Source organism: Homo sapiens, chromosome 10 (assembly GCF_000001405.40).
Source record: "Homo sapiens chromosome 10, GRCh38.p14 Primary Assembly".
In the NCBI taxonomy this organism is placed as follows: Eukaryota; Metazoa; Chordata; class Mammalia; order Primates; family Hominidae; genus Homo; species Homo sapiens.
This window is the reverse complement of record NC_000010.11, coordinates 17,337,651-17,350,450: the sequence shown is the minus strand read 5'-3', so window position 1 is coordinate 17,350,450 and position 12,800 is coordinate 17,337,651. Positions and strand designations below refer to the sequence as shown.

Below are 12,800 nucleotides of genomic sequence, written 5' to 3'. Positions count from 1 at the left end.
TTCTGAGTAGCTGGGGCTAGATCACTGTTTTCTTAATAACATAAACTACTCCTTTGGTGTGAAGCAAGCATTCATTGTGAGCCAGTCGATTCTAAAATCACAGTATGTCAGCATGCCATCTCGATTTTATTTTTTGTTTCATTTCTTAAATACTCAAAGATGCTTTGTCCTCCACGACACAGCCAAATCCTGGAAGGAGCTGTCTATACCTACTCTTTCATAGTACCTTCTACTTATTCCATGACCTTCAAACTGGTCACCATGAACCACGATGAATCCTTCTCATCTACTTCTTGCCCAATAACTGGAGGGACTACGGACTTTGGCCACATCGCTCCAACCACTTCCACCCCTGTCCCAACCAGTTTAGAACCAGTTATCCCTTCCTCAAGGAAGCCTTCCCTGGACAACCTGATTAAGTCATTGCTGATGTATTATCCTGAAATTCACCTTCATTACACTAGCCACGATTAATACATTTTCATTTGTGTGTGTATGTGTGTGTGTGTGTGTGTTTATTTAATTTACAGACCTGGTTAATCTGAGTCATGTGTTTTATGTAATGCATCAGGAAGAACAAAGGATCTTTCTAGGTGGTTCAGAAAATAGGTCAAGACTCACTATAGGAACTAGGAGTTGGAAAGGGCTGGGGAGTACAGTCTGGTTTCTAGGCTCAGCTTTAAGTTGACTCCATGTGTCTTGTTTGTTTCAGGCATTTTATTATTGATGTTTCTTGTTTGTTATCCCTAATCTTTCATTTTCTTTTAAATTTGGTCTCCCCTGTAAGTGAATAAGTTACTACTAGAACATCTTAAAGGCAGCATTTTACCTTTGCCGCTGGTTATTTATGGCAACGTCTTTATTCTTATTAGGCTAAGCCAGTTTTCCTAGCCAGTGTCTTTATCAGTAAAATGGAGCAATACTTAACCTCTGTGAGTTTTTATGAATATTCAATATGTCAAATGCTCAGTACAGAGTCCGTTATATATTAGAATCTCAGTACATGGTAGCTATTCTGATTATTTCCAGTTTAATATCATTTTTCTGGCTTACAATTAATATTTTACTAACTAGTTTAAACTCTTGGTATCTGCAATAAATACAGCAAGTCTGTGATGGAGCAATAATGCTATAATAGTTTCTGTTCCAGTCCTCTGCCTAGGGGGATGTGTAAACAATTATAAACCCCAGTTTTGCTTTTGTGATCATTTCATATGGATTATACCACGTTCTTGGTAAGGACCAACTCTTCCTGTTCAGTTCGTTCTGTTTGAACTTTCTTTGGTCTTTTCATGATGGAAAGTAGGTCACACCAAGCAGAAAGTATTAAACTTCAACTTTCTAGGTTATCGTCTTTCTGTGCATTATTTTCCGTAGAAAAGGATTTACCTTTATATGAACTGTCTGTGGCTTGTCCCTCCCTTTCCAGATGGCCGGTCAAACCACGTGCTCTGAGGTCTAATCAGGAATCGCTCTGAATTCCCTGAAAATTAATCAGCTCGAGTACAGGCAGAGCCAAGAGTTACGCTTCCCGCCCCGCCCCGCCCCGATTACTTAGCCCTTGACTAGGGCTAAGTAAGGGCTGAGGAACCCAGGGTAGGAAGGATCATTCTTATTTGAGATTCTGCTGGGTGAAGCCTAAGGGCATAGATGAAAAGTTAGGATTTGGAAGGGAGCCAGAAGCCAAAAGCAGTTCCCAGAGGCCAGGCAAAAACAGAAGCTGAGTGTGGGACTGAAGCCAAAAAGCGGAAGATGATGAATTCCACAGCGAACCGTGGGAGCCGTCCTGGAACAATGCCTGAGATGCGCGCTGGCTTTCTGGGAGCAGTTAGGGCCCCTTTAGGTATGTGAACCCGCCTCACTAAATGGCCATGAGCAGAACTGAACTGCCTACCTGTTTCTCCACCTGTGCAAGACACAGTTTCTCAGAGCACAGACGAAGCTCCTTGAAATATACGTGCATTGCTGGCCCTTGCCTAAGCCTACAGTTAGGACTTGGCCTGGTAAATTGAAGTTCATGAAATAATGAGACCTTTTATAAAAGACAGTGGCATAAATACAAAATATACCACGAACATTTCCCTTAAGAAATGTTTCACAGAGTAGCATATTGGTGTAATTACACATAAGACTGATTCAGCATTATAATTACAAAACTGTTTTCATAGGATTCAGTGTTAATTCAGGCTCTCAATATGTTGCCAAAGTCTGCAAAAAAAAAAAAAAAAAGGTTCCTACTCTTCCCTTTTCCTTCCCTAAAAATATCTAACTGAATAAAAGTTTATAATCCGTCAACGAAAATTGGTTTCTTTACATTTTCTTCTTCACACATTGAACAATAATAGCAGTGACCTAGATTTTTTTTTTGTCTGCAAATTAAAATATATTCTGAAATCTTAACATTCATCTTAACTGTTGATTTTGTATTTTTAGAACTTGTGTTTTTCACACTTAGCAATTCACAATCAGCTTTAATTTTTTTTTTTTTTTTTTTTTTGAGACAGAGTCTCACCATCGCCTAGGCTGGAATGCAGTGGCGCAATCTCGGCTCACTGCAACCCCCATCTCCCGGGTTCAAGCGATTCTCCTGCCTCAGCCTCCGATTCTCCTGCCTCAGCCTCCCAAGTAGCTGGGACTACAGGCACGTGCCACCACGCCCGGCTAATTTTTTGTATTTTTAGTAGAGACAGGGTTTCACTGTGTTAGCCAGGATGGTCTCGATCTCGTGACCTCGTGATCCACCCGCTTTGGCAGGCAAAGGACACTCTTGCAATTAGACCCCTGGAGGGATCCTTGCAAGTCACTTCTGTCACAGCTTTATGCTCATTGCAAATGGCACCTGAAGGCAGCCGGATGGGTGCACCCCTTACTTCTTTCCAAAGATTTCACAGTCCTGCTTTTTCACAATCTCACTCCGATTCTGCAACGTGATCCCGTTTTTTTTTTCTTTACAAGTCTTAGCATGAATTAAAACCACAACAGGTCACCACCTTCATTATTATCATTGCCCTCTCCCCTCTCGTTTACGCTACTCTGTGTGTCAGAGAAGTCAGCATCCTTCTCCCAGTGGCCTGAATCAGAAAGCCCTGCATGACCCTTGCTGTCTTCTCCTTCAGTGTCCATTTCTAGTCCATCGCCAAACTTTTGCTAAAGTCTCACACCCTAATGTTTTAAATCTATCCTTTTGCAATCTCACCACCCATCTCTGGTCTGGGTTACTGGGATGGCTAATTGTATGTGTCTACTTGGCTAGGCTATAGTACCCAGTGATTTAATCAAATGCTAATCTAAGTGTTGCTGTGATGTATTTTGTAGATGTGGTTAACGTCAACAATCAATTGACATTAAGTAAAGGCGCTTTCCGTTGATAATGTGGGTGGGTCTCATCTCAATCAATTAAAGGCCTTAAGAGCAAAAACTGAGGTGTCCCAGAGAAGAGGTATTTCTGCTTCAAGATTGCAGAATCAACTCCTGCCTGGATGTCCAACCTGCAGGCTTACCCTACAGATTTTAGATGTGCTAGCCCTTGCAATTGTGTGGACCAATTCTTAAGTCTCGATAGATCGATAGATAGATACATAAATACATAGATACAAAGATACATAGAGACATACATAGATAGATAATACAGATATAAGATAGATAGATAGATGATAGACTGTTGATTGTATTTTTCTGGAGAGCCCAGACACACATAGCTATTGTTCTCTCTTAACTGGCATGTTGGTTATCTATTGCTGCATAATAAACTGCCCCCAAACTGATGGCTTAAAACAGTGATTTCATATTCTCTCTCAGTTCCGTGGGCTGCCTGGGCTCAGCTGGGGAATTTTTTTGTTGTTGTTGTTACTGTTTTTGAGACAGGATCTCACTCTGTCACCCAAACTGGTATGCAGTGGCACCATCACAGCTCACTGCAACCTTGACCTCCTGTGATCAAGCAATCCTCCTGCCTCAGCCTCCTGAGTAGCTGGGACTATAGGAGCATGCCACCAAGCCCAGCTAATTTTTGAAATTGTTGTAAAGATGGGGTTTCCCTATGTTGCCCAGGCAACTCCTTGGCTCAAGCGATCCTGCCACCTCAGCAAAGTGTTGGGATTACAGATGTGAGCCAGCACACCCAGCCCAGGGAACTCTTAATGGAGGGCTTTCATAGGGTTGCAGTCCACTGGAGTCATCTGAGAGCTCGCCTGAGTTGGACATCCAAGATGTGACGCTCACATGTCAGTTAAGTTACCATTGACTGCTTACTAGGAATTCAGCTAGAGCTGCCACCTAAAGGATCTTCAAAGGAACCTCCATATGTGACTTGAGCTTCTTGCAGCTCAAGAAGGCTCAATTCCTTTGGGGAATGGCTGGATTCCTTGGGGAAGTGTCCAGAGAATGAACGTTCCAAGAGATCCAGGCAGAAGCCACAACACTTTCTATGACCTCGCATTGGAAATCCCAGAATGTCACTTCTTCTGCCACATTCTACTGGTTCAAGCACTTCCTAAGGCCAGCCCCGATTCAAGCGGAGGAATTTTAGGTTTCATTTCTTGTCATGTGCATGTAGGGAGAGAAAGAGTTGATGGTGGCCACTGCAACACTGTGTCATTGCCTATCTTTCTAACTGATTAGTGGGATCTTTCTGCAGACCCACTAATCTATCCTCACTGAAGCCAGGGTGCACATCCTAAAATGCATATCCCATGTGTCACTTCCATAAATAAGACCCTTCAATGCTTTGCCCTCTCCCATAGAAGAAAGCCACATTGTTGATTTTGTGATGCCTGTAAGACTCTTGCTATAGTTCTCCAGCATTCTCCACCTAGTTCTCCATCTGCCAAGCCACACAGGATTTCTTTCAGAATTTTGCACATTCTATGCTCTCTCTCTCTTCTCCAGGCTTTCACATTCCCTCCTTCCTGCTTCTCAAACAGTCTTTACCCCTCCATCTCCTTCTCCTGCCTCACCTGGCTAGTTCTGTTTAAGTTTTCAGCTTAAGCTTTGTGTCTTCTGGGGAGCTGAGTCCCCATACTTTGGGTGGCTTAGGTACCTTCCAACGTGCTCTTGACGCCATGCCTGGCCCAGTTCCTTGGGCTTGCATGATTGTGGATTTGTACTCAGCCAAACTTGCTTGTACTTTGCTTTAATTACAGAACCAGCAAAATATAAACACAAGATTAGGGAGTGGATTGTCCCACTCAGAGCAGCACCTGAAATGCTCCAGGCATCTCAGTCTCAAAGGTCCACTGTTGTCACAAGAGGAAGTGGGCCTTTGTGCTGCAGTCTCACCCCTTGCAGCTCCTTCTGTGATGCCTCAGAGGTATATAGTAGGCCTGGCCTAGCCCAGCTCTTCCCTCCTCCTCCCCCTGCTGCAGTGTAGACTGACGGCACCGTGTTCTAATTGTTTGCTGTTGTCTCTCTCCCACTAGCTAAGAGTTCTCCATGGGATGGGATGTTCTCTGTCTTTTTTTCTGTTACATTCCTAGTAGTAAGAATAGTACTAAGTGCTTGATTTGTTTATCCATTCATGTCCACGTGAAAAGATATCCTATCTTTCTTGCAGGAGTTTGTCTTGGTTCACCCAGCCCCAAGCAATCTGTTGCCTGGGCATGGATTTTCACCCTTAGCCTTGACTCTGTGCACTCCAGTTTCCAACCTGCAGCCCCTTAACCTGTATCTGGCTGGGTCTTCCCTGGCCCTTGCGAGGGAGGGATTTGGACACTGTTTCCCTCCTTTCTTATGAATATAGCTGGGAACATTCAGCACAGCTTAAGAATATTTAATCACAATTTCCAAAATTTCCAAAGGTGTAGATATTTTCCCACGAAGGACAGATGATGTGGTTTGACTGTGTCCTCACTCAAATCTCATCTTGAATTATAGCTCTCCTAATGCCCATATGTTGTGGGAGGGACCCAGTGGGAGATAATTGAATCACTGGAGTGGTTTCCCCCATACTGTTCTCATGGTAGTGAGTAAGTCTCATGAGATCCGATGGTTTTATAAGAAAAGAGACCCAAGTGGTTTCGCTTGGCTCTCATTCTTTCTTTGCCTGCCACCATGTGAGATGTGGCTTTGCTCCTCCTGGCCTTCTGCCAGGACTGGGAGGCCTCCCCAGCCACGTGGAACTGTGAATCCATTAAACCTCCTTTCTTTATAAATTACCCAGTCTCTGGTATGTCTTTATTAGCAGCGTGAAATCTTACTAATACAACAGAGTTTATTCATGTCTTGTGACAGTGACTGTGTGGGCTTTCTTCTTGACTTTTCCCCCTCTGTGCATCTTTGCCATGGTTTATTTGTGCATATATTAGACAATAATTAGAGGGATATAGGGCAGTATTAAGAGCACACAGCTATTAAGACTAGACTGCCTGTGTCCAAGTCTCAGTCATGTCATTAGCTAGCTGTGTGACCTCAGGCAAGTAACTTCACCGCTCTGACCCAGCTTCTACATCTGAAAAATGGGGACAACAACAGGGATGATAATAGCGCTTCCCTCATAAGGCTTTTATAAGGATTAAATAATATATAAAGTGCTTGGAAGAGTGCTTGAGACAGTACAAGCCATGCATGTATTTATTATTATTATTTATGCATCTATAGACATGAGCTTCAAATACGTTTCCCTTTTTATGCTCCTATCTGAGCCACTGTCTGGCGTCTCTCTTTCCGGGCACTTTCTGTAGAACGTTCTATCTGTGTAAACCTGCTCCTCTGATCACGTGTTTGCATTTCTATCTGTCTATTTCATGTGTCTCTATAATCCTTGGTTTCTGTGGATGACTGTCTTTTGCCTTCTGTCTTCATCTCTTCTGTTTTTCTCAGGGCTCTCTTTCTGTGTTTTATTTCATGTGCCCATTACTTTTCTTTCCTCCTCTGTTTTGTGCAATGTTCACCTGTTTCTTCTTCTTTTCCCTTGGTTTCTGCAGTCTTAGTTTGCTCTTTCTCTTTAACCTCTCCACCTCTCTTCTGCAGGTACCAATAACATCAGAGCTGAAATTTAGAAACTATTTTCTGAGCTCATTAAATAGTTTTCTATTACCTTTTCAAACATTTATGAGCTTACGAATACAATATTTTCTGTGGCTCTCTAGGGGAGAATCAAATTGTTCTTTGCTTGCACAACCGTCTATTGATTTTTCTTCCTGTGGTTCAGTGACCCTTTGTAGAGAAAAGATTCCCTCTATCTTGCTGACCTTTCTTCCTGGACCATAGTTAACAACCGTTGTTCACCTTTGTTACCTTGTTCAGAGGCTTCTTCCACCTTCTGCTTCTCATCTACATTGTGCTGTCCCAGGAGCAAGAAGAGGACAGGCTGGGGGTCTGGGTCATTCCTTGGCATATCCCCAGAGCCTAGCACAGTGCAAGGCACCCGGGATGCCCTTGATGAATATTTGCGAAAGGAATGATTTGCTCTGGGAGTACTGAGGTTTAGGGGAAGACCAAGAAGAGCATCTCATATTGAGCCATTATCATAACGCCCTGCTGCCTTTGTCATTCTTATTTTTATTTTTTGAGAGGGTGTCTCTGTCACCCAGGCTGGAGCATGGTGGCGCGATCTCAGCTCACTGCAGCCTCCGTCTCCTGGGTTCAAGCGATCCTCCCACCTCAGCCTCCTGAGTAGCTGGGACTACAGGCACCCACCACTATGCCCGGCTAATTTTTGTATTTTTAGTAGAGAGGGGGTCTCACCATGTTGGCCAGGCTGGTCTCAAACTTCTGAACTCGTGATCCATCCGCCTTGGCCTCCTAAAGTGCTGGGATTAGAGGCATGAGCCACTGTGCCCAGGCTGTTCTTTCCACCTACTAAATATATCACAAGTCTCCTTCCTCCTCTTTTCAACTTTAAAATTACTTGTTTCATGTAGGCCCTTTTAATCTTTAATTAGGTGACTCTAGTAAAAACCTCGCAGCCATGTCCCAGCTGGCTTTCTTCCCTCTGATCTCCTTCCACTGCCATCCATCCTATATGACCCAAAGAATTATCCTCAAACACAAGTTTATTCATTCAATGAGGAAATATTTATCAAGTGCCTTCTGTGCGCTGGGTTCGGTGTTAACAGCTCCATCACAAAATCTCCCCTAACTCCCAGACTGGTTAAGTGCCCCTCCCCTGTGCTGCTCTCATAGCCTCATATGATAGTGAAATGATACTTAAATGCCAGTGATGCTTTGTGTCTGTCTCTCTTAATACACGTAAGCTCCCAGAGGGCAAGCCCCATCCATGTTTTATTCATATTTGTATTTAATACTTTGCAAATTGTAATACCATGACCTTGGGCCATGGACATCACCGCTGGCTGCTCAGTGAATGTGGGCTGAATTGCTCTATGTATCGGTCTTTGTCTCAGTCAGCTTGGGCTGCTATCATCAAATGGCATAGACAGGGTGGCTTTAACAACTCACATTTATTTCTCACAGTTCTGGAGGCTGTGAAGTATAAGATCAGGGTGCCAGCATGGTTCTGGTAAGTTCTGGTGAGTGCCCTCTTCTGGGTTATAGACAGCCAGCTTCTTTCTTTTTCTTTCTTTCTTTTTGTTTTTTTTTTTTTTTTTTTTTGAGATGGAGCCTTGCTCTGTTGCCCAGGCTGGAGTGCAGTAGTGCGGTCTCCAGTTACTGCAACCTCTGCTTCCTGGGTTCAAGCGATTCTCTTGCTTCAGCCTCCTGAGTAGCTGGGATTACAGGTGGCTGCCAACACACCTGGCTAATTTTTTGTATTTTTAGTAGAGATGGGGGTTTCACCATGTTGGCCAGGCTGGTCTCGAACTCCTGACCTTGTGATCCTCCTGCCTCAGCCTCCCAAAGCGCTGGGATTACAGGCATAAGCCACCGCACCTGGCCCCAGCTTCTTACTGTAACCTCACATTCATCAGAGCTCCACCTTCATGACCCTAAACACTTCCCAAAGACCTCACCTCCTAATACCATCATACTGGGGCTTTGGGTTTCAAAATATTTATTTTGGGGAGACACAAGCATTCAGTCCATATCAGTCCTCATTCTGTATCTTGAAGCTACAGAAGTTAAATCTCATTATTCCTTTACCTTATGGTCCTTAAAATATTTGAAGAGAGCTACTGAATCCTCCGAATCTGCTCTTCTCCAGCCGGGACGTTATTAGTTCTTCACCTACCATGGATTTCAATCTGTTCCCTCCAGACAGGCCCTGGTTTGTCAATTGCCTTTGAAAGTAAGCTTCCACAACAGATCCAAGCACACTAGGCATGGTTTTGAACATTATAGAGTTGTATGTATCTCTGTCTTCCCTTTGTAGCCATGATTCCTTTAAATATACAATTTCAGATCACACTTGAATTTTGGAAAGCCAGTGCACACTGCTGGGTTCTAGAAAGTCAAGTGAAAGCCTGTAAATCTTCCTGACTTCAATGGCCTCTAACCAGAGATGTCTTGTTCTCAACCTGTAATACCAAAGTATTCTTTCTCTTTCACCTTCTCTGGGCCTTGCCTCCCGTAGCTGCACAACACAAGCCCACAGGCAAACACACAGACTCCTGCAGTGTCTAGAGCAGTCACTGGGATATGAAGACTGTGTGTGGAGGCTGGGCAGCTAGGGTGCAGGGGGTAAGTCTTCTACACTATGTGACAGCAATGGAAAGGCCCCTTGAGCCCAGAAAGCTCTTTTATTTTTTGTTAAAGAAGTTCTTCCAAATACGAACTTGAGAAATCTAGAAAAATATTTTGGGTTGTAAGATACAGTGGCTCAGATAAGAACATTTTAATTTCCCCCATTGCACACCATGGTTTTGCTGGAAATAAATTTTTGGTGCTGCAAAAGAAATAACACTCAAACATAAATTTTCTCAGCAAGGCAATTTTACTTCTATAGAAGGGTGTGTCTCATGAAGGGAGCAATGGCGAGAGCACACCTGAACAAGGGAGGGGAAGGGGTTCTTATCCCTGACACAGGAAGCTCCTACTGCTGCGACATTCCCATATTGGCTGGGTTTGGACCGCACAGTCTAAGCTTAATTCCGATTGGCTGTTTTAAAGAGAGCAGAGGTATGAGCCAGAGTGGCGGGGTGAGCAGTTTTGGCAGGAAAGACAGTTACGGAACACGTGACTAAAGGTGACACAGGTCAGAGCAGGTGACCAGGGGTGACTCAGGATGGAGCAGGTGACCAGGGGTGACTCAGGACGGAACAGGTGACCAGGGTGACTCAGGACGAAGCAGGTGACCAGGGGAACAGATGTGAACTACTGATGAGAACTGGTGGGAAGGTTGTTTACGGAAACTAGGGGCAAGGAGACGAAGAGAACGAGGAAGTTAAACTTTAAGATGGAGAACAAAGAACTGAACATATCGACATACTGATTCTTTCAAGAGAAACTTAGAACTCACTGTATTTATCAGTTCTTTGCAGTGCAAGCCCTGGCAATGGCTTTAGAGGAATAGTTTGAATTCTGGGTTTGAATCTTTGCTTTGCTACTTACTGCCTTACAAGTCATCTTTCTAAACCTTTTTATTTTCTTTCCTACAGGATCACAAACACTATAAAGGCAGAGACAATGCTTGATTTATTGACCAATGTGTAGCCAGCACTTCTCATAGAGCTCAATATTTAATAGGTGCTAAATAAATATGAATGAGTGAATGAACGTGTCATATGTGACCTTCTTAACTTTATGATCCTAAGTTATCCTCATCTATAAAATGAGAATATTAATTGCATCTATTTTGTAGGGCTATTGTAGGGTTTAAGTGAAATAATCTATGTAAAATATTTAGCATGCAGTGAGAATGCACTAAATGTTGGTTATTGTTATTATTGGTCAATCCATGAATTACATGTCAAATGAGGCAAGAAGAGAAGTAAAAAAAGGGGGCACCAACAGGAGACAGGCAAGTGCTGGATTGTTGGCCTATGTATGTTATATTTTCGTGAAGAAAAAGAAATGTGGCCATTTTAGAAATGATTTGGATGGTAAGTAAATCCTTTGACTTTCTGCTGTGCTTACATTTTAAAACTCTTTTTCCTAGGACCCTCATTAGAATCATGGAGAATGAATTCTGGAAAGGTAGCTCTTTATCAATACCTGGAAAGTGCCTGCAGCCTCTACCTTATGGGAACTTTTTCACATCTCATTAGGGAGGCTCAGAGTTTAATAAACAGAAGAGGTGCCTGGGAGCCATGGGTTTGGGCCTTTAGGTCGTTAGCCTCGGTCTGTGAACTGTAAGCCTTAAGTAGTTGTTAACACTTCATGGAAATCCAGGAAGCACTGCATTTAGAACTGAAGAAGAATTTTGACCTGAGACTTGAAACAAATAAAAACAAACAAACAAAAGAAACAGAAAAAGAAAATAGCACCTACAGTGAAAAAAAAAAGGAATTTTTACAATTTTAATAAAGATCCCTTTCTCAAAAGGAATTTGTAATGCAAAGATGATTTGACATCTGGATGCAAAGGTGATTTTGCAGATCTTCGATTTCATCCTTATAGATCCAGGTGAAAAGCACTAAGTCAGATTCTCCCAGAACCAACCTACTCCTTGAAAGTTAAGCATTTTTCAAAGTATATGAACTCTCCTGAATTCTAGAACTCGGTGCAGTACAGAAAGTCTCAATTCTTTCCTTGGGGGATGCCACATGGATGGGCAGTGTATGCTCTTTTGAACCTGGGTTGCATGGAGGAAATTGCTGAAGGTAGAACGCAGCAAGAGTTAGACTCGCAGCAAGCCAGAGGCTTCTTTTCAATTTATTTTAGGGTGCATTGTTCGGGTCACCTGATAATCCTGCTCCCATAGGGCAGCTTATACATCTTCCACGTAAAAGGAGAGCCTCAAATGTCTCAGTTATACAGGCTTTGAAGCATTTATATGTACATTGTATGATAGCCTTTGAATTGAGTCTAGGTAGGTTTTTAGCAAGACGCTACCAGCATTACTTTGGGAACAACTATCTATGCTATGGTGGTACCATTTTGGAAAGCATCCAAGGGGAACAGGCTTAGATAATGACATTTCCCCAATTACAACATACTCTAGTGTAAACTGTAGAAAAGTGGATGTCAAAACACAAAGGTTTGAGTTGTTTACAAACTGTATGCTTTGGTCATATAACTTACCCTCTCTCAACCCCAATTTTCTCATCTTTAAAATGGGAATAACAGCCGGGCACGGTGGCTCACGCCTGTAATCCCAACACTTTGGGAGGCCGAGGCGAGCGGATCACTGAGGTCGGGAGTTCAAGACCAGCCTGACCAACATGGAGAAACTCCTTCTCTACTAAAAATACAAAATTAGTCAGATGTGGTGGCACATGCCTGTAATCCCAGCTACTTGGGAGGCTGAGGCAGGAGAATCAATTGAACCCGGGAGGTGGAGGTTGTGGTGAGCTGAGATCGCGCCATTGCACTCCAGCCTGGGAGGGAAGAGTGAAACTCCGTCTCAAAAAAAAAAAAAAAAAAAAGAATAGTATTTTCTGCCTCCTTGTGTGCTGTGGAAATCGGGTGGGGGTAATGGCAAAAGTGTACAGTGTTTTACCAGGTTAAGGCTTGTGCCTACTAATCTGGTGGGGATATTTACTGCCATGGAAGGTGAAACCTTGCATTATAGACAACTGAGATGTCATGGAAATGGCAGGATTTCTGATGAATACCCACAGTGTCCTCCATTTCTTAATGTATCCTCTTCTTTTTACCCAAGAAGGGAGCAATGGCCATACCCATTATTGTGAACATGTCTAGTTGACTTTAGAGTCACCCAAGATCAGAACTGATTCTGACTTTAGGGGTGATGGGAAATAGCATAATAGAGATAAAAATTCCATTTTGTTTTATTTGTTGTAAGC

At 43.1% G+C, this 12,800-nt stretch overlaps 1 protein-coding gene across 6 annotated transcripts in view, besides 1 other annotated feature; it reads left to right on the top strand.

Moving 5' to 3' along the window:
- The window catches only part of ST8SIA6 (ST8 alpha-N-acetyl-neuraminide alpha-2,8-sialyltransferase 6), a 139,175-nt gene that overhangs the window by 104,145 nt on the left and 22,230 nt on the right, over positions 1-12,800 (top strand). The gene's annotated exons all lie outside the window — the stretch shown is intronic.
- Positions 5,954-6,154: a silencer, noted in NCBI's record as "peak886 fragment used in MPRA reporter construct". NCBI's record gives its function as "represses an SCP1 promoter by STARR-seq MPRAs in K562 erythroleukemia cells {active_cell/tissue: K562}" and the evidence as "EXISTENCE:reporter gene assay evidence [ECO:0000049][PMID:32103011]".